Source organism: Homo sapiens, chromosome 10, assembly GCF_000001405.40.
Source record: "Homo sapiens chromosome 10, GRCh38.p14 Primary Assembly".
Taxonomy (NCBI): Eukaryota; Metazoa; Chordata; class Mammalia; order Primates; family Hominidae; genus Homo; species Homo sapiens.
This window is the reverse complement of record NC_000010.11, coordinates 123108054-123128012: the sequence shown is the minus strand read 5'-3', so window position 1 is coordinate 123128012 and position 19959 is coordinate 123108054. Positions and strand designations below refer to the sequence as shown.

The 19959-nt window shown below is 44.6% G+C and overlaps 2 annotated features.

Moving 5' to 3' along the window:
• Positions 8261-8760: an enhancer, noted in NCBI's record as "H3K4me1 hESC enhancer chr10:124878769-124879268 (GRCh37/hg19 assembly coordinates)". NCBI's record gives its function as "activates a minimal SCP1, AML or CMV promoter by ChIP-STARR-seq in naive H9 embryonic stem cells {active_cell/tissue: H9 hESC(naive)}" and the evidence as "EXISTENCE:reporter gene assay evidence [ECO:0000049][PMID:30033119]".
• Positions 8761-9262: an enhancer, noted in NCBI's record as "H3K4me1 hESC enhancer chr10:124878267-124878768 (GRCh37/hg19 assembly coordinates)". NCBI's record gives its function as "activates a minimal SCP1, AML or CMV promoter by ChIP-STARR-seq in naive H9 embryonic stem cells {active_cell/tissue: H9 hESC(naive)}" and the evidence as "EXISTENCE:reporter gene assay evidence [ECO:0000049][PMID:30033119]".

Sequence of the window (19959 nt, the reverse complement as noted above, 5' to 3'; positions counted from 1 at the left end):
ATCCGAGAAGGCCTCCTTGTGTTCCCATCCAATCATCCTTGCCCCCATCTGCAACAAGAATAATCACAATTCGTGGATTAGTTTTGCCTGCATTTGAACTTTATTTTAAAAGATTTTATTATTTTTTTTTAGATACAGTCTTGCTCTGTCACCTAAGCTGGAGTGCAGTGGCACAATCTCAGCTCACTGCAACTTCTGCCTCCCAAGTTCAAGTGATTCTTGTGCCTCAGTGTCCCAAGTAGCTGGGATTACAGGCATGCACCACTATTTCCAGCTATTTTTTTGTGGGTGTATTTTTAATAGAGACAGGGTTTCACTATGTTTTCTAGGCTGGTCTCAAACTCCTGGTCTCAAGTGATCCACCCCGCCTTGGCCTCCCAAAGTGCTGGGATTACAGGTGTGAACCATCATGCCCGGTCCATTTGAACTTTATATAAATAGAATCATATGTAGTTTTCTATCTTTTGTGTCTGGCTTCTTTTGCTCAAGAATATGTTAGTGAGATGTAGTCATTTTGTTTCAGGTAATTTAATTTTTTTCATTGCTATTTTGTATTGCATTGGGTGAATACAACAAAATGTATTTACTCATTTTGCTTTTGATAGACTTATTGGCGGTTTCCAGTGTGGGGCAGTTATACATACAACTGATAGATATATATTTTCTAACAAACATATGTGTGCATTTCTGTTCAGCATCTCTAGGAGTAGAATTATGGACCATAGGATATATTTCTGTTCCCTTCTACACACAGGGGAAAAACCAGGTGACAGAGATTCATATGACAACAGGAAGCAAGGAGCTGTGTAGGGTGAAAGCTGAGCATCCCACAGGGGATCCTGGTGTACCTAGAACTGCTCAGGTCACCCCTGATGTGCCTCATGTAAGTGTCAGGCATATACTTTGAAAAGCACTTTCTCACTCAGTCTCCCACATCTTCCTCCTGACTCTGTGGTCAGGGGTCTCTATTATTCCCTTTCAGAAAACAAAACAAAAACAAATACTAAGGCCCAGGGATACTAAGCAACTTGCTATCATCTCCTTCATCCAGTTTGCCAAGCCTTTACCCTCCCTGACAACTTGGCTCAAATCCATTGATTAGAAATTGGTACCAGGCCCTTAGCTGCGGAGAGGCTGCCAGATTGTGCTGAGATCTTCATACAGGGTTCAGTTTTTCCGAGATGTCATGAAAGAAAATTCTTTCCTCCTGGTGTGGGTTCTAATGGACTTGCCAGGGAATAGGAATTGGGTTGGAAAGTGGGAAGCAGTTACTGAATAAATGCTTTAGAATCAGACAGAGCTTGCTTTAGATTCCAACTCTGCCACTTACAGGTTATATGAATTTTAGCAAGCTGTTCACTTCTGTTAAGTCTCAGGCCCCTTGTCTAAATGACAGGCCACTTGTCGGGGGAGTTGTGAGGCTGAAATGAGGTCGTGTGTGCAGAATGCCCAGCATGGAATCTGTCGCCTAATAAATGCTCAGTAAATGGCAACTGTCAAAACGTTAAGGCTGGACAGAGGGCAGGAGGGCAGCGACAGTGTGTCTCAGCCAGTGTAGGCTGCTATAACAAAAATACCAGAGACTGAGTGACTTAAACAGCAAACATTGATTTCTCCCAGTTCTGGAAGCTGGAAGTCTGAGATCAGGGTGCCTGCATGGTTGGGTTCTTGGTGAGGGCTGTCTTCCTGGTTTGCAGATGGCCACCTTCTTGTTGCAACTTGATATGGTGAAGAGAGAGATATAATCACTCAGTATCTCTTCTTAGAGGGACACAGATCTCATTCCTGAGGGCTCCACTTTCATGACCAAGTCACCTCCCAAAGGCCCCACCTCCTCATACCATCATATTGGAGATTACATTTCAACATATGAATTTTGGGAGAGGGGACACAGATATTCAGTCCCTAACACAGGGGAAGTGCTTGAAGGCTGAATATGGGTCAGTCCTGCTCATCACTGGCCACCTGTGTGGCTTGGCTGACTCCTTTGCCTCTGAAGAGCTCAATTTTCCTTGTTTCCTCATCCATAAAGTGAAATGCTGCAGTAGATAGATCCAGCCTGAAAGTGCTATGATTCTGTAGTGTGCTTTTCTCATTTCCTGTAGAAACTCCTGTAGATTGGACAGAATTGAAAGAGGACAGCATTCTCATACTCACAGTTCATAACTGACCTTCGATAAGGCTGGTCTTCTCAGGAATGGCAGCACGGACGATGTCACTTCAACACAAGAGTTTGCCCCAATTTTCTCCGTAAATGGGAGGCCCAAGAGCAACTCTAGCCCTGCAGATCTGTCCCTGAAAGACATAAATGTTTTCTAAAACTGTGAAAGGATTGTAATGACCAATCAGATAAACTGATTATCTTTAAATGCACAGGATGCTGTGATCTGCGTGGTTTGCATGTTGATCCCACCAGGGGTGTGCGTTGTTTGTCTGGAATATGGGGTGACTAGAGTGCTAAAAATAGAATCTAATTTGGAAAACATGTACAGGCACCCACCATGTGTTAAAACCCTGTAAGGGGGCAAGAATTCAATTGAGATATAGTCTCTGCTCTCTGGGACTTTACTATCTAGGGCAGGATCCAGACAGAGGCTACAGAAAGCTAAAAAGTCAAGTCAGAACAGGATAAGTGCTATCACAGAGATATGGTGTAGGTCTCTAAGATGGAGCTTTCAATAAGCACAGATGGGAGAGAGAGGAGAGTGTATTCCAGGCAGCAGGCAGAGGGGGCAGCATGTTTGGAGACACAGAGACTTGCAAATGCACAATGGGGTTGGCCCTCTCCTATACTTGGAGCACAGTCTGTGTGAGAGATGGGACAGTGAGAATGGAAGTTGTCTCCAAGTCATGAGAATCCTAATACCAGGCTAGGGAGCTGGGATATTCTTGTGGCAATGGGGAGCCAGAGAAGATGTGGAAGTAAGGGGACTGCAGGATCAAAGCTGTAGTTCATGAAGATAAATCTGCCATGGAGTGAGGCTGGATGGGAGCAGGGAGAGTCTGGTGACTGGGAGACCAGGCAGGAGTTTATGGCTACAGTTCAGAGCAGAGTGCATGAGGATATGAGCCAGGGAAATGGCCCTGAGAATGGAAGAGGAAACTGGATCGGAGGGTCACTGAGAAGGCAGAGTCACAGGACTAGTGACTAATTAGCCATGGGAGTCAGGGAGAGGGAGGAGTTGAAGGTGCTTGAGATAAGAACATTCAGGAGGAGGGTCGTAAATTGCCAATTTGGACTTGAATGGACATTTCTCCAAAGAAAGATGTGCAAATGCCAACGGATGTATGAAAAGAAGCTCAATGTCATTCATCATCAGGGAAATGCACATGAAAACCACAACGAGATAGCCCCTCACACCTGTTAGAATGGCTATTCTCAAGGAAAACAAAGGACAAGTGCTGGCCAGGATATGGAGAAATGAGAGCCCTATGCACTGTTGGTGGGAACACAAAAATAGTGCAGCCATCACAGAAAAACAATATGGAAGCTCCTCAAAAGACTAAAAGTAGAACTACCTACGATCCAACAATGCCACTTCTGGGTATTTATCCAAAAGAATTGAAATTAGGATTTTGAAGAGATATTAGGACTTTCATGTTCATTGCAGCACTATTCTCAATAGCCAAGATACGTTAACAACCTAAATATCCATTAATAGATGAATGGATAAACGAAACATGGTAGATACTGCAAATATTACTCAGCCTTAAAAAGGAAGGAAATTCTGACACATGCTACAAAATGGATGAACCCGGAGGACATTATGCTGAGTGAAATAAGCCAGTCACAGAAGGCCAATACTGCATTGTTCCACTTATATGAGGTATCCAGAATAGTCAAATGCACAGAAGCAAAGAGTGAAATAGAGGCCAGGCACGGTGGCTCATGCCGTGAGTAATCTAAGCACTTTGGGAGGCCAAGGTGGGCGGATGACCTGATGTCAGGAGTTCGAGACCAGCCTGGCCAATATGGTGAAACCCTGTCTCTACTAAAAATACAAAAATTAGCCGGGCGTGGTGGCGCGTGCCTGTAGTACCAGCTACTTGGGGAGGCTGAGGCAGGAGAATTGCTTGAACCTGGGAGGCAGAGGTTGCAGTGAGCCGAGATCACGCTGCTGCATTCTAGCCTGGGTGACAGAGCGAGATTACATCTCAAAAAATAAAAATAAATAAAAGAGTAAAATGGCGTTCCCTATTTTATTTTTCCAGGGGCTGGGGTTAGGGTCTAATGGGAAGTTGCTAATCAATGGGCCTAAGATTTCAGTTAAGCAAGATCAATTCTAGAGACCTGCTGTACAACATCATGCCTATAGTTATCAATACTGTATTGTGCACTTAAAATTTTGTTAAGAGAGTAGGTCTCATACTAAGTGTTCTTACCCCAATCAAATAGAATTTAAAATAAATAAATACATAATGTCTACACTTCTAAAAACAATATCAATCTCAAGATGCACCATCAATTCAATTACAGCTTTTCAGGTAAAAGAAAAAAAAGAAATCACTACAATAAATGCATATATTAGGTGTAGTTCATATCCCATTTTTAGAAATGGTAAATATAAAAGCACATATATCTTAGAACTAAGAAAACACAATAGTTTGGGGAACATAAGAGGAAAACTTGGTTTGAATATGTGACAGGTTAAATAGCTATTCAAAACAGCCACACACACATCCCCCCTCTCCCCGCCCCGTGGGAGGATTGCACCTCCCACTCCATTGATATGAAGCTTGGCCCTGGACTTGCTTTGGTCTAATAATGGGCAATTGTACCTGACCAATCCTGACTTCAGGCTTGGCCACCTGATCTGCTTAGGTCAATGAGATGGTGGCAGGCATGTTGCAAGTAGAGGCTTGACATGTACTTGTATGATGGACCTTGCCCTTCTGTGCCATAGTGATGAAGAGAATTTCCCTGGGGTAGCTGCTGTCATTTTAGGATGGGCCTCAGACTAAACAGAACTAAGCCCAATCCTTGGTGAGGAGCCAAGGCCAGTTGGACACTCAGCCTGAAGCAGAACTGAGCTTAGATCAGCCAGCTCACGAGAGTAGTTATAAATGGTTGTTACTTTAAGCCACTGAGTTTGAGATGGTTTGTTACACTGCACGAGCTGATTGATACAGAGGGTAATCATGATGAATCTGGTTTTAAATATGTGGAATAGAGAATAATCAGATTAAGAGAAAATAATAGTATAGGATGGACAGTAGTTTATCTGGAATATTTTTGGCCTGACCCATTCTAGATTAATAATATTTCTGAAGTTTCAAGCATAATGCTGAACAAATGACCTGCTGGTGTGTTTATATATATATGTGTGCATATAAATTATAATTTCAAAACTCTAATGCAGGTATTTTCTGTTAAAACATATAAATGTCCTAAAACTGTAGTGATTTGTGATGTTTCTGTGTCCAGCTCTACCTGGTCCCTATTTTGTCAACCAGGTCACTATCACATCACCACTTGGTGTTCCACTGTCACTATGAGTCAACCCTGGGCACACACTCTAAAATGAAAATGTATCAAGTAGTTTCTGAGTGCCAGGCTCTAGCATATCCCCTGGGAGACAGATGGACAGGACAGAGGGTCCTGATCTCCTGAGATTCGCATTCTGGTGGGGAAGACAAATTAGTAAATGAAATAAACAAGATTTCTGACTTGGAAAAAATAATGGTAATGGTATGCTGTTTCTTAAAAGGGCAATTGTAAAAATACTATACTATTGTAGAACAATTCTCTTACTTAATAATTCTAGTGTTTAGCCTCCCACATAATTTGACTTCAACTATAGATTTTATTTCCAGATTGCCAAACCTAGAGATTAAGCCTAGTGATCAGGGTAAGCCTTAAGCAAAAAAAGTGACCTTTTCCTTCATCACTCTTTCATCAAAATGTCCTGGGCATCTGTTGAGGGCAGGCGTAGTGTGAGGCACACGTTGCATGAATGCTATCTCATTCAGTACTCTCACATCTTAATCTTTCTGGAGGATTGCATCTGGGAAAGCAGAGGCTGACCAATCTGCCCAAGGAACCAAAGCTATAAGTGAAGTGGGGCACAGGGATACGAACTCCAAGTATTGCACAGCATTCTGTTTGCAAGCCACACTGCCTTCCCTCATGCCCATGGCCTCTATGCTCTCACTTCTAGCATGAATGGCTCTCAATTTGTTGAGACATCTCCTTTCCTGGGAATTGATCTTCCTTCTCCCTCTCTCTCTCATCCCCAGTAACACATGATAATGCCCACTGGCTGGAAATGTTTGGACACCTTTTACTCACCATATGCACAATGAAACAGAAAAAGTAGATCTGGAGAAAGAGAAGTAAGAAAACGTCCAGTGTAGAGGGGCTGGCTGCCCCTGAGGACTTTCTTGAACTTGGTTCTACTCACCTCCTGAGGCCTGGCTGCATTTTTGTCTTTGGACTCTGTGTGTCTTTCTATTACTAAATTTCCATTTTCTGATTAGGGTAGCTTAAGAACTTAATGTCACCTATCTGTCAATTTGGGAAGAGTTTTACTGATTCTTACTAAAGTGTATATGACTAACAACCCCCTTAGAATATTTGTAGCATGTGTGTTTTACAGCAGGAGCCTGTCGTGGTGCTAAACATTTCATGTACATTATCTGATTTTAAGCGCATGCTCTTAAACTTATGCTATACCAAGTTTGTCCAACCCGTGGCCCAGGGTGGCTTTGAATGCTGCCCAACACAAATGCATAAAATTTCTTAAAACATTACGAGATTTTTTTTTTAGCTCACCAGCTATTGCTAGTGTTAGTGTATTTTATGTGTGGCCCAAGACAATGCTTTTCCTTCCACTGTGGCCCAGAGAAGCCAAAAGATTGGACACACCTGTGCTATACCATATCCCTGGTAGACAACGCCCATAGGTATGAAGCCAAAAGCTTGGGATATTACACTTCAGCAGTTAACTGGGTTTGCAGAGTCACAAAAAATCTAGGAAGATAGAACTGGCCAAGGGCCCCCTGGTCCATCAAACCCCCACCGCTGCCTCCTTGGCTGACCTCATGCCTGTTCTATCTTTCACCAAATGTTGGTCATGACATTAGGACAAAGCCTCTACTCCCTTATGTTGCACAGATGTTTTTTGTTGTTCTTATTGTTTTTTGTTTTTGTTTTTGTTTTAGAGATAGGGTCTTGCTCTGTCACCCAGGCTGGAGTGCAGTGGTGCGATCATACTCCCTGCAACTTCAAACTGGGCTCAAGTAAATCCTCCCACCTCAGCCTCTAGAGTAGCTGAAACTACAGGCACACATCACTGCACCTGGCTAATTTTTAAAAAATGTTTGTGGAGACAGGGGTCTGGCTATGTTGCCCAGGCTGGTGTTGAACACCTGTACTCAAGTGATCCTCCCACCTCAGCCTCCTGAGTATGCACAAATGTTTTTAATCCACAAAGACAGCAGGCCAACTTGGCCATTCTGGGGGCCATGTGTGTATATGTGTGTGAGTAGGAGAGTGTGAGGAGAGGTGTCCATGGGTCATGGAGCCTCCGGAGGCAGGAGAGGCTGCAGGACATAAGTGGGGAAGGCATGTCACTTCATTTCTCTGAAGAACTATGAGGTGTGCACCGTGGCAGTGGCAATATGCCTGAGACCTGGACACTCTCCCCTTTATTCTCTAGGGATTAAGGTGAGACAAGGTGCCAGGTGGGCCTCCTTTGTCCTGGGGTGATCCCAGGCCCTCTGCGAGTCACCAGTGCTTCCACAACCTTCTCTCTTGATCCTCAGCATATCTCTGCTGAGTGGGCTGTGCTATGCATGAGGGAGGGATGTCAACGGTACGCTCTGCAGCCGAATTGCCTGGGGTTGAATCCTGTCTCTGCCACTCACCAGCTGTTTTGGTCAGTTTGGGCTGCTGAGTACCGTAGACCCTGTGGTTTGTTTCTTTCTCTCTCACAGTTCTGGAGCCTGGAAGTCTGAGATCAGGGTGCCAGGTATGTGGTGAGGTCCCTCTTCTTGGCTTACAGATGGCCATCCTCTTGTGGTGTCCTCACATGATGGCAAGAGGGCTGGCTAGCTCTCTGAGGTCCCTTTTGTAAGAGCACTGATCCCATTCATGAGCGTTCCATCTTCATGACCTAATCACCTTCCAAAGGCATCACCTCCTAATACCATCACATTGAGGGTTAGGATTTCAACACGTGAATTTTGGGAGGGACACAAAACACTCAGCCCTTGCACCGGCTGCGTGAATATGGACAAAGGGCTTAACTCCTCTGCTCCCCACCTCCTCATCTGTCAAATGGGGACAATGGAAGTAGCTTCCTCTTGGGGTTGCTGAGAGGATTAAGTGAGACAAAGTGTGGCAAGTGCCTTCATGCCAGCTTCCTGGCACACACTCCATAAGTGCCCCCTATTAGGAAGCATGGCTCAGAGGCACAGAGAAGGTTAAGAGCCTTGCCAGCGTCACTCAGCTAGAGAGTAGCTGTCCTCAGTCGGGTTCCCCCAAAGAAGGCCCTGAGGGAAGGATTGGTTTATTAAGGAAGTGCCCCCAGGAAGACTGGGAAGGGGCAGGGGTCACGGGGCAGGGAGGGAAGGGAAGCCAACCTGTCTAACCCCTGACCACAGCTTTGCAGTTGAGGGGATTCATCGTGATCCTCCCGGGAGCCCTGATGGACGAGTCATGCCTCAGGGTTGTCCCTTTCAGAGGCAAGGGCGCTGGACCTTTCATGTTCCTGCTCCCAGGCAGTCTGTGGTCAAGGTCACCCTGGGGAACATGAGCTCCCAGGCTCCTCTGGCTCTCTGGTCATAGGGGAAAATGGCTTCAGTCGTCCTCCAAAACAGTCACAGCTGCTTGCCATGGGAAGCCGAAGTGCCTGAAGCAAGCAGTGCCGGGGTGCAGAGGTGGAATGGAATGAGCAGGATTCAGGGGATCTGGGTAGGCACAGGCCTGTCCTATTCAGTGTGAAAGCAGGGCCCCACCTACCGTTTCTGGATTTAAGTTCTCTTCACACCTGGCCCCTTCATCCCTTAAATGGCCTAATCCGGCAAGACAGGCATGCACACAAACAGACACAGTCCTCACGTGTTAGCCCTTTTGGGGCTATCAGCAGGTTTTTCTCCTTTTGATGGCAATATTGAAAGAAGGGAGGCCACCCCACTCTGAGGACAAAAGAAGGCCCTCTCTTCAATCTGCTTCTTGTCTTTGGAAATTTGTGGCAACCATTTCAGTTTAAACATATGACAATTAAATCGTTAAGGGTTCTGATGCCGAATTAATTACCCAGTAGAAAAGGGATCAATTGTGTAAATATATCATTTATGTAATGAGTCCTGGCTGTGATTTAGATGTCCAGATTGGTTTTTCTTCCAGCTTCTGTCCTGAAAACAAGTCTAGCCTTTGAGCCAGGGCCAAACAAACAGCCTCTATTAGGTCTGAATCCAGGGCATTAAGTGGCCCAAATAGACAGGTGGGGGCAGGTGATACAGGGGGCTGAGATTGTGGAAAAATTGGAGCAATTTGCCAAAATGAGCCAAGTTCCTCCTATTATTCTTCCTGTCTCTGCGAAAATTACTCTTCAGAAACAGGGAGTGGAAGTTAAACATCCCCTTAAATGACACTTCAGGCACGGCCCATTTCACCCCCGCCTCCACCCTCCTCCACTCCCCTCCACCAGACACTGTAGTCGAATGACAGCCTTTCCTGAAAAAGGAGCCTCCGTTAGGTTCCAGGAGGCAGCCTCGGCCCCCAAACATTTAGCGTTCTTGGGATCATGGTTTCGGCCGTCCAGCTTGGGGCCTGCCTGCCAGCTCGGGCGGGTGGCCGACTTGCTGCAGTGCTGCTCCCAGTCCAGGCACTGGGTGGCGGCTCTGGTGGTGAAGCAGTCACTGACTTCGAATGTCCCGATCCATCCAACACTCCGTTTGGGGCGTGCTTCCGGTGTTCCCGCATAGGTCCCTCCCCTGGCTCCCCAGGCTCCCCAGGCTCAGAGCTCCACCTCTCCCCCTACCCTCACCGCACTGGGTTTATTCATCTCTCATGGCACCGAACACACAGCCAGTGTCCCCAGGACCCGCACAGAGCCCCGCACACAGAGAACCCTCCACCCTATTTGTGGAATGCATCAGGGAGCTTGGAATGGAGAGAAGGGCTGCTATGCTCCACCTCCCAGCCAGGTGCTGGGACCCCCAGGGAGCCTCACTTCTCTGACATGCACCCCACCCCCTGCATTCTTGGCCTTTCTTGGGATGAATCTGAGGCAGAAAGTGAGCTCACTTGAGCTCTAGCCCTGGCTTGCACCTTGGTGGGGTGGCGGTGGGGTCGTGCAACGCTTTTGCCTCCCGAGACTCATCTCAATAACAAGATGATGATTAGAAGAAGATCCCTGCCAGCCCAGCTCCTCCTCGGTGGGCTGCATCCAAGATTCCTGTCCTGGGGGCGGGGAAAAAGGTGCAAAGCTCATGCTCTATTTTAGGGGGTGAAACCTGGGACATAAGTGGGCTGAGGATGCCTTTGCCTTGAAGAAAATGAAATTGGGTGGGGGAGGTAATTATGCATCAAATGCCATGTATTTGTCAGGAATTCATTGTTTAATTGATGTTTTATTGCTCCAACTGACACGTGATCGAAATGAAATTGCATCTATAGAGAAGGGAATGAAATTTATTTCGGCTTGTATCTTAATGGGGGGATTAAAGCATCAATTCAACAATGAAGATGACGTATATTTGATGTATAACCTGAAGAAGGAATATTACTCCCTAAACTGTTATTTTTCAATTTACAGTAATGGAGCACCTGGTAATAAGGCAAGAGACACAGTTCACACATTTTTCATTATTTAAAAATAGCAAAAAAAAATCATTATTAAATAATAGAAGAAAACTTCACTTTTAATAGTATAGTATAAGCATTGTACCCGAAAGTGCTCTGGCAAGTTACCTAGCTAATAAATAACAGCTACAGTGCAGAGGAGTGGGAAGAATTCTGGGGGAAAAGATATGTCTTTTCCTGATCTTTAAAATTCGATGAAGGCTGGGCGCGGTGGCTCACGCCTGTAATCCCAGCACTTTGGGAGGCTGAGGTGGGCAGATCACGAGGTCAGGAGATCGAGACCATCCTGGCTAACATGGTGAAACCCCGTCTCTACTAAAAATACAAAAAATTAGCCGGGTGTGGTGGCGGGCGCCTGTAGTCTCAGCTACTCGGGAGGCTGAGGCAGGAGAATGGTGTGAACCCAGGAGGCGGAGCTTGCAGTGAGCCAAGATCGCACCACCGCACTCCAGCCTGGGCGACAGAACGAGACTCCGTCTCAAAAAAAAAAAAAAAAAAATTCGATGTAAAGGGACTCAGGAAGTCAAACTCGTAAAAGAAGCTGCTAACTGAGCCAGGCTCTGTGCTGGATCTGACTCCCTTGAACTCTAAACCCTGCAATAATCATGTTTTACAAAGAGGGAAACTGAGGCTCAGAGGCCTTGCCTGAGGTCACACAGCAATCATGGAGTTGACCCCAGGTCAGCCTGACTACAAGGGCCATCTCTTTCCTTTCTGACAGCAGATATTTAACAGAGAGGGAGGAAAATAAGAGACAATATTCACCCAAAGCAGGGAAGATTTCTCCAATGCAGGGACTAAGGTGAGATGGGAAGAAGTTTACGTAAGAGCAAAGGCCAATGGAAGGCAGTGGAGAGGGAAGGCATGAGAACCACAGGGAAGCACACAGAAAGTTCCAAAAAGGGGAGGTCAGTGTAGACATAGAGCTGACTTCTGTGTCTTTCACAAAGGTTGACTTCAGTTCAGAAGTTACTTTATGTAGAAGAAATCATGGTCAGTTAAGCCTGTACCTACTTTGTGAAAGAAACAGATTTTGTAAATCGAGAGTCTGCATAGCAAGTCCAGAAATTCTGCATTTATTTCTATTATCAAATTGGAAGTTTAGAATTTTTCAGAAAAAATTATGGTCTTCATATGCAACCAAAATATGCCTACAAATACAGAAAAACCATTGGAAAAATTTCTTGCCACAAATAAGACAAATAGTTAATATCCTTAATATATAAAAAGCAAGGGCAGGCACAGTGGCTCATGCCTATAATCCCAGCACTTTGGGAGGCCAAGGCAAGGGGATCACCCGAGGTCAGGAGTTTGAGACAAGCCTGGCCAACATGGTGAAACCCCATCTCTACTAAAAATATAAAAAATTAGCCGGCATGGTGGCACATGTCTGTAATCTCAGCTACTCGGGAGGCTGAAGCAGGAGAATCACTTGATCCGAGGAGGTGGAGGTTGCAGTGAGCAAAGATCACACCATTGCACTCCAGCCTGGGCAACAAGAGTGAAACTCTGTCTAAAAGATATATATAGATATATAGATATATAGATATATAGATATACACACACACACACATATATATTGCATATGTAGGGCTAGGCATGGTGGCTCGCATCTGTAATCCCAACACTTTGGAAGGCCAAGGTGGGAGCACTGCTTGAGGCCAGGAGTTTGAGACCAGCCTGGACAACATAGCGAGTCCCCATTTTAGCTGAGTGGGTGCACACCTGTAGTCCTAGCTACTTAGAAGGCTGAGGTGGGAGGATTGCTTGAGCCCAAGAGTTTGAGGCTGCAGTAAGCTATGAATGCACCATTGTACTCCAGGCTGGGTGACAGAGTGAGACTTTGTCTCCAAAATAAATACATAAATAAACATTTATGAGCCATTACAAAAATATTTAACAGGTGTAGAAGTCTAGGCAAAGAATATAAGGAGCAAGTCACAGAAATAATGAGCAGATCATAATCTTTATGAATTTAATAAATGCATATTAAAACATCAGTGAAATACCTGTCTGTTATTAAATTAGCGAAGCCAAGAAAAGAAGCTAATGCTTAATGCTGGTGAGGATGAAAAGTAAATGATATATTTACACCTCACCATTGGGAATAAATCAGTGTAAGTTTTCCAGAAAATAATTTGGCAGTATGGATCAAGAGCTCTTAAATTCAAACATCTTGAGCCAGGAGTTTCCCTTTAGAATACAGTATATCCTAAAAAAAAATAGCTGGATTCTTAACACACGCTCATACCTACCGATACACAGACATACATTCTATTATTACTTGTAATACAATAAAATGTAAATAAGCAAATGGTTAAATAAATCGTGGTATAGCCAAACAGTGGAATAGAATGTTACATAAGCCATCAAAATTGTTTTTTTTTTTTGTTTGTTTGTTTACTTACAAAACTGGTTTTTGAAGTCTGCTTAATGACAAGGAAAAGTTCTCACACAGTTTAAAAAAAAATACTGTGTCAATGTGTGTTTGACAGAGACAGAGAAGGGGTGTGTGTGTGTGTGTGTGTGTGTGTGTGTGTGTGTGTGTGTGTTGCGGGAGGGGACAGGGAACCTGAAAAATATAATAAGACTTTCGGTTTTGTTTTTTAATAATGAGATAATGGGTAATTTTATTTTAGTCTTAGTACTTTGTATAATTTTCCAATTCTCTGCAATAAGCAAGTATTTTTATAATCAGAAAAAAATGTTCTTTTTTTAAAAAAGCAAAGTACATTTGAAATAAAGCATTTAAAGGAAAGTATTTGAGGATAAAGTATGGATGCTATTTGTAATAAAATCACAAAATGAACACAGAAGATCTAGTGTGGGCTTCTGCTAAGCATCAATTTGCTTTGAAATCTAAGGACAAAATGATGGTAGTTTGAACAAATAACAGTAGATTGGAAAGTCACTTAATGGTGAAGCTGATGGTTAAGAATTTTTTTTTTTTTTTTTTTTTGAGATGGAGTTTTGCTCTTCTTGCCCAGGCTGGAGTGCAAAGGTGTGATTTCGGCTCACTGCAACCTCCACCTCCCAGGTTCAAGTGATTCTCCTGCCTCAGCCTCCCGAGTAGCTGGGATTACAGGCATGCGCCATCATGACTGGCTAATTTTGTATTTTTAGTAGAGACAGGGTTTCACCATGTTAGCCAGGCTGGTCTCGAACTCCTGAACTCAGGTGATTCACCTGCCTTGGCCTCCCAAAGTGCTGGGATTACAGGTGTGAGCCACCACGCCCGGCCAAAGAATAAATTAAACTGGTTGTTTGAGGACAAGATCAGCCAGCTCAGTCAAAGAGCGTGGATGTGTATTCCCGAAGACTCCATCTGAGGACACTTACCAGTGTGCGTTCATATGAGTACAGTGTATTTATTATTATGGTGGTCCCTAGCTAGGTGCACAATGCGATTTAGAATGTAGCTCTTTTAAATTTTATTTTAAAATAGGGTCTCGCTCTGTCGCCCAGGCTGGCGTGCAGTGGTGCAATCACAGCTCACTGCAGTCTCTACCTCCCTGGCTCAGGCAATCCTCCCACCTCAGCCTCCCAAGACTACTGGGACTACAGGCAAAGCCACCACACCCAGCTAATTTTTGTATTTTCTGTAGAGACCAGGTCTCACAATATTGCCCAGACTGGTCTCAAACTTCTGGGCTCAAGTAATCCTCCCGCCTTGGCCTCCCAAAATGCTGGATTACACTGTGCCCAGCGCTCTTTTTTAAGCTGGCAACCTGGTGGTCTCTTATTTAGTAAGTTGATGTGGGTGGAGGCTTTGGCTTTGATAGAAAGAGGAGTAAGATTTTTTTTGCTTTATTTTGTTTTTGTTCAACTAGAAGGAGAGATGAGAGGAGAAGAGACACAGAATGGCATGGTGTTTGCCCCATTCTTCCCAACCCCATGGACTGGCTTGGAGCCTGATACGGAGAGAGACGGAGGCCAGAATGAGGAGCTGTTTCACACAGAATTTGAGAGACTCTGGGCCCAGGCAGCATGGCTGTGGGACTCAGGCGTACTGGGGAAGGAGGCCAGTCTTGCACCTCTTTACAGAGTTGACTCAAGCACCCCCTGGCTTAGACTCTAGAATATTCGTGGTGGGTCTCGACAGCAGTGGCAGTGGAATTAGGCCAAAATAAATTCTTTGGAAAGACATGGGGCCATTCAAGAAGAGAGAGGACAGCTGGAGAACTGGCTCAGAAAAAAGCAGGAACCAAGGCTGTCCAGACAGCAGCAGGCACAGAGTGCCACCAGACAGGCTTGCCAGTTAGGACATGGCTGCTGTGGGTGCCACTAACACAGGACCTCACCAGCACGGCCACCAGCCTCTGCAGCCTCTGCTGGGAACAACACCAACTGTCCCGCATCTCTGCACCTCTCTCCCAAGGTGCAAAGTCTCTGCTGGGAGCATCTGATAGGTCAAGCCTAGGTGACATGCCTCATCCCAGCCACCAGTGATGGGAAGATAGCGGATTTGCCACACTTCAGCTTCCTCTGCCTCCACCTCCAGGATCCACGCAATGGTGTGATTCCCCTGTATCTCATGTCAGGTGGCCCAAACATGGTAAATGTCCCCTCGAAACCCCTGGGTGTTGTGAAGAAAGTTAAGTGAGAACATGCATATGAAGTGCTTGGCACACAGTGTGAGGTGGCACACAGGGGGGCTGGCACACAGGGGGGGCTCATTAAGTCTGCTGTGATCATTGTTACAACATTTGTTATTATTTTAATAATTATTGTAGATGAGACCTAGATTTGACCAACTGGATAATCTTACCAGGATCTCTGACTCCTGGGAGAATGATTAAGTTTGGTGCAAAAGCAGTGGAAGAAGGCGCTATTTTAGTGGAATTCTAAAGCGACAGCTTTTGCATAGAAAACATTCCATTGGGGGGAGGGATAACCAACAAGATCGAATCAATAAATATCTAATCAATAACCAGCCTAGTAACTATGTGCACTGTGCTCCGCAGAATAGGTGAGTGAAAGTGTTTGGATCCTCAGATTAATTGGGAAGAAGAGATCTTTGGGGCAGAGGCTGTTGGATGCCTCTTCCAGCACCCTCTTTCCTCTTCCCTGTAACAGACTCCAATTTTTAGGAGGGCACATTGCTGCCTGGAATAAAGAACTATATATCCCAGCCTTCCTTGCAGCTAGGATTGTCAAGCTCTTTGATTTTAGCCAACCAGGTACAAGTGGAGGTGTTGAAAGCGCCTCTGGAAAGTCTGCTATAGGATTTCTGTTCCGTGAAGCCAAAATTCATGCTACCCAGCACAACCTTAGTATCTTCATCTCTATTTAATGCAAGGTGAAGCTGGGGCTCAGAGGGATGAAGCAGCCAGTCCAAGAAATTGCTAGGCTGATGCAGTCAGGTCCTCTAACCTTGAGAATCGTGCTACTTTTCAATATAACCGCCCCATCCTGCATTTTAAAGAAGCAACATTATTGAGTATAATTTCCATGCCATAAAATGTACCAATTTTAAGTACATAGTGCAATGTTTTGTCAAATGCATATACCCTTGTAACCACCACCACAATCAAGATAAAGAGCATTTCCTGGTCCCTAGAAAGTTCCTGCTTCATTGCAATCTCCCTCTCTCTCCCAGCCTCAGGCAACCGCTGACCCGTTTTCTGCCACTATAGATTAGTTTGGCCCGTCCTAGAATTTCATTTAAATGGACTCATTTGATGTCTGCTCTGTTGTGTCTGGCTTCTTTAGCTCAGCAGAATGTTTTTGGAGTGATCTAAATTGTTGCTGGTATTAGTGGTTCACTCCTTTTTTTTGCAGTCTAGTATGCCTTTGTATGGATGTGCCACTATTTGTTCACCTGTTCATCTGTTGATGCACCCTTGGTTTGTTCTCAGTTTAGGATGACTATTCACATTTTTGTGCAAGTCTTTGTGTAGACATTTGCTTTCATTTCTCTTGACTAATACATAGCAGTGGAATTGCTGGGTCATAGAGTAGGGTTGTATCAGTCCATTCTCACACTGCTATGAAGAAACACCCAAGACTGGGTAATTTATAAAGGAAAGAGGTTTAATTGACTCACAGTTCCGTGGGGCTGGGGAGGCCTCAGGAAACTTACCATTATGGTGGAAGGGGAAGCAAACACGGGGAAGGTTTTATAAGGGAAAGCCCCTTATAAAACGATCAGAGAACTTACTGACTATCAAAAGAACGCATGGGAGAAACCGCCCCGTGTTCAATTACCTCCCACTGGGTCCCTCCCACCACATGTGGAGATGACCGCAACTACAATTCAGATGAGAATTGGGTGGGGACACAGCCAAACCATATCAACGGTTGTGTTTAAATTTATAAGAAACTGCCAAACCGTTTTTGAAAGCATTTCACAGTATTTTGTCTTTTAAAAAACTGAATTTGAGAATCTGAGTTTTAAACAAAGAAATCTGGAAATGTCTGGTTTATTTAGGTGAGGTTCACCCTAGGCCCTCCTGGGTGACATGCCTTTGGGCCATATACTCCCTTAGATCCCAAAGATCAGATCCGAAATCCTTGTTCAGCCTCTAAGTACTTTCATGAGGTTGAACAGGTTGCTTAATCTCAATGAGAACTAGCTTCTTCTATAACATGGAAGATAACAATAGCAATACCTACCTCACCTGGCTGTTGTTAGGATTAAGTGAGATACCATTTGCAGAAATGGATGGCATATCGTCGTTGCTTGCTACCTGGATATTAGCTTTATGATGAGGGGATTTTGCTGGAGAATAAGGCATCTTTTGTGCTCTACAGTTGAAGGGCTATCTATCATCAGGTTTTATAAGTTGTAGAAATAAGTCCTTTCAAATGGATTTGCTTCAACAGTTCATATTAGAATTGTTGACACTTCTTGGTGTCCTCATAGTCTAGAAGGCTATGTGTAACTCAGCAGGTGGGAAGGCTGTTGACAACATTAATTGTTTCATAAATAGTGTCAAGATGAGACTTTTTTCCCCCCTTTGGCTTAAGCCAAGTTACTGAAAAACCAATACTGTGCCATATGTTTATACTTTCCTTGGCACATAAACCAGATATTTTACAGATAGGGATGGGTAATAAAAGGCAAGTACTCACTCAAGTCACATGTTTTGATTCACCATCAAAGAAAAACAGCCATAACCATCCCAATTCCACTGAAATTGTATCAGAATTAGTTGTAAATCTCAAACATAGGAGATAGCACCTTAAGTAGAAATGGCTACAGAACTAAGAAAACTCCCCTTTCTAGGTGGCTGACACATCAAGGAAAACTCTGAATATGTGCTCCATTTTCTCACTGGTTGCTGGTATAGCAAATAAGTTAGGCAGATACATTTGGCATTAGGAAGGCTCACCAAAGGATTGTCATCATTACTAATGGCAAATCTGGTGACCCATTAGAATTCTTAAAAGTTGAATTGTGACAAGTAGGTGGCTCCCAAGGAGGCCCGGCCTCCTGATGACCTGCGGTTATTTTCCATCACAGAGGAATTGCATCATGTATAAGGTCAACATAAGTACATGCCGCAAGAGACAGACAGTGAGGGAAATTGGTTCTGTCTGAGTGTATGCCCTGGGGTGAGGGTGGGACCCAGGACCTGATCCTGTTCTTCCCTCCGAAGTATTGTTTCTGGGGCCCTCTCTGAGTGTGAGAATCACACCGAAGTTGAATGTGACTCTCGGATTTCAAGTTTTGTCTTCTTCCTACCACCCGGCCCCTAAATGTCAGCTATTTCATGATGGTGCTCTGCTCCCCTGCCCAAGGAAATCCTCTACACCTGAGCTGGGCCTGCTGGGAGATGACATGCCAGTGTTCTACGTGGCAAATAAACATGGCAGGGATCTGCACTTGAGGCTGATTTAAAGAAATTTCCAGAGTGATTTTGTCACTTTGCACCACACTCATTCCTGGCGGTTACCGCGCTCTTCTGCCCTCACTAATTTGCAGGTCCAGCTCAAATCTGGCCTTGGCTGGAGCCTCCCCAATGGACACAGATCCCCTTCTTGCCTCCATCTCCTCTAGCTGCAACTAGGGCCCAGCTCTGTATTTGGGTAATGTTATGTTTCTAGAAAGTAGGCATTGGGCCTGGAAATGACCCTCGCAGATGATTACTCAGCTGCTTCCCTTAGCAATGAGACTCGTCTTCACAAACAGATACACAGAACCACAACCCATGAAACAGACCAGAGAGCTGCCCCAGGGAAGCTGGGCTGTGGGTGAAGTTTGTAACAAACTCACCATTTTGCTGATGAGAAAACATGCTGGCAGCTTCACATTTCTGATGCCTGTAAGCAGAACACGATACAATTGCAAGCATTTATTTTTTTCTGGAAGAAATTACCAGAAACTGTTGACAGTGATTCCTTCTGTGGGATGGGGTGGAGAAGTGAGTGGCTTTTCAAAAAAAATCCTGGTGGGGCCTTGGCTGAAGCCTGTAATCCCAGCACTTTGGGAGGCCAGGACAGGCAGATCACCTGAAGTCAGGAGTTTGAGACCAGCCTGGCCAACATGGTGAAACCCCTGTCTCTACTAAAAATACAAAAATTAGCCAGGTGTGGTGGCGGGAACCTGTAATCCCAACTACTCAGGAGGCTGAGGCAGGATAATTACTTGAACCTAGGAGGCAGATGTTGCAATGAGATAAGATGGAGCCACTACACTCCAGTCTGGGTGACAGAGCAAGACTCCATCTCAATAAAAAAATTAATAATTTTTAAAAATATCCTTTTATGTAAGAGGCAGTAGGGCATAGTTGTTCCACTAGAGGCGGGGTTCAAATCCCAGCACTGCCCCTTCTGACCTGGGTGATCTCGGCCATGTTGAGTTTCCCTGTGCATCCGTGTTCTTATCCATAAAGCCAGGGTAATAACTTTGTCTGTCTTACACAATTTTTGTATACTTAAAACCATAGTGAGTGCTCTATAAATATTAGCTACTTCTCTCTCTCTTCTTGAACTTTCTAAGTGTACTTCCTCCATTTATTTAAAGAAGGTCAATATGTATTATCTGTGTATATTAGTCCATTTTCGCACTGCTATAAAGATACTACCTGAGACTGGGTAATTTATAAAGGAAAGAGGTTTAATTGACTCACAGTTCCCCATGGCTGGGGAGGCCTCAGGAAACTTACAATCATGGCAGAGAGGGAAGCAAGCACTTCTTACATGGC